Source organism: Homo sapiens, chromosome X, assembly GCF_000001405.40.
Source record: "Homo sapiens chromosome X, GRCh38.p14 Primary Assembly".
In the NCBI taxonomy this organism is placed as follows: Eukaryota; Metazoa; Chordata; class Mammalia; order Primates; family Hominidae; genus Homo; species Homo sapiens.
Window position 1 is genome coordinate 4,803,263 of NC_000023.11, and position 1,568 is coordinate 4,804,830.

A 1,568-nucleotide genomic window follows, 5' to 3' on the forward strand; every position below is an offset into this window, starting at 1 on the left:
TGTGTAGTAGCCATTCTTTCATTCCTTTACTTTCTTTTTTTTTTTTTTTTTTTTTTTGAGACGGAGTTTCACACTGTCACCCGGGCTGGAGTGCAATGGCACAATCTCGGCTCACTGCAAGCTCCACCTCCCAGGTTCACATGATTCTCCTGCCTCAGTCTCCTGAGTAGCTGGGATTACGGGCACACACCACCACACCTGGCTAATTTTTTGTATTTTTAGTAGAGACGGGGTTTTACTATGTTGGCCAGATTGGTCTCGAACTCCTGACCTTGTGTTCTGCCCACCTTGGCCTCCCAAAGTGCTGGGATTACAGGCGTGAGCCACCACGCCCGGCCTATTCCTTTACTTTCTTGATAAACTTGCTTTCACTTTATGGACTCACCCCAAATTCTTTCTTGTGCAAGGTCCAAGAACCTTCTCTTAGGTTCTGCATCAGCACCTCCTTTCCAGGAACAACTTGACAAATTTTGGGGAGTCAGTTGTAAAAAAGAATGAAATGCTGTCTTTGGAGATGATGTAGTGAAAAGAAATGGAAAGGAAGAGACATTCAGGACCTTTCACAGAAGAAAAAAATCAAGGATACATGATGCTACTCCCAAATACATTTTCCCCCGACCCACACACACATATGACACCACTCATTGAAGAAGTTTCACTTTTCTGCAGTGACATAAAAGTTTTCGGTTAAATTCTTTGTCATCCACCCTGCGTACAAAGTGCCTAGACCAAAATAGCCATCATGTAAAAACTCATATGCAAAGAAAATGAAAAATGGGAATCAGAACATTTAAGCAAATACAAATCCCAACCCCATTCATGTCCCACCCTTAATCTCGAAGTTAAATGAAATTTCAACCTAACCTGACACTCCCAATTAAATATCCAGAATTCTCCTTCTGGATGCCGATGAAAAGAGTCAAACTGTAAAATATTTGAAGAGATTTATTCTGAGCCAAATATGAGTGACCATGGATTGTGACACAGCCCTCAGGATGTCCTGAGAACATGTGCCCAAAATGGTTCGAGTGCAGCTTGGTTTTATATATTCTGGGGAGATCAAGGTTCTTTTGAATTCTTATAGTGGCTGCCCTTAGAGACAACAGATGACAAGTGTTTCCTATTCAGATCTTTAAAAGGTGCTAGACTCTTAATTAATCTTTTTAGGATTGGGAGGGTCTGGAAGAAAAAGATGTAGCTATGTTAATAGAGATTCTTTACAGATGCAAATTTTCTCCCACAAAAGACAGCTTTGCAGAGCCATTTCAAGGTATGGCAAAGAAACATGTTTTGGGGTAAAATATTTTAACTTTTTCCTTGTCTCATACTGTTATGCCAGAGTCAGACTGGAAAGTAAGTCACAATATATAGGGTTAAATGAAATTCATCTGATGAGGATTTATGGTTTGTAGGGCATGACTCTCCAGACCTCTTAGATAGGAATTTGGGCAAGATAAAAAAATCAGAGCTTAGTTCTCATGGATATGAAAGGTTTACCAGAATGAGAGCACATGAAAAAATTAGAAAAACAAAAAGTATACTAAACAACTTCCTCTGCCTACACAAGT

At 39.9% G+C, this 1,568-nt stretch overlaps 1 annotated feature.

The window, feature by feature from the left end:
• Positions 823-1,329: an enhancer, noted in NCBI's record as "NANOG hESC enhancer chrX:4722126-4722632 (GRCh37/hg19 assembly coordinates)". NCBI's record gives its function as "activates a minimal SCP1, AML or CMV promoter by ChIP-STARR-seq in primed H9 embryonic stem cells {active_cell/tissue: H9 hESC(primed)}" and the evidence as "EXISTENCE:reporter gene assay evidence [ECO:0000049][PMID:30033119]".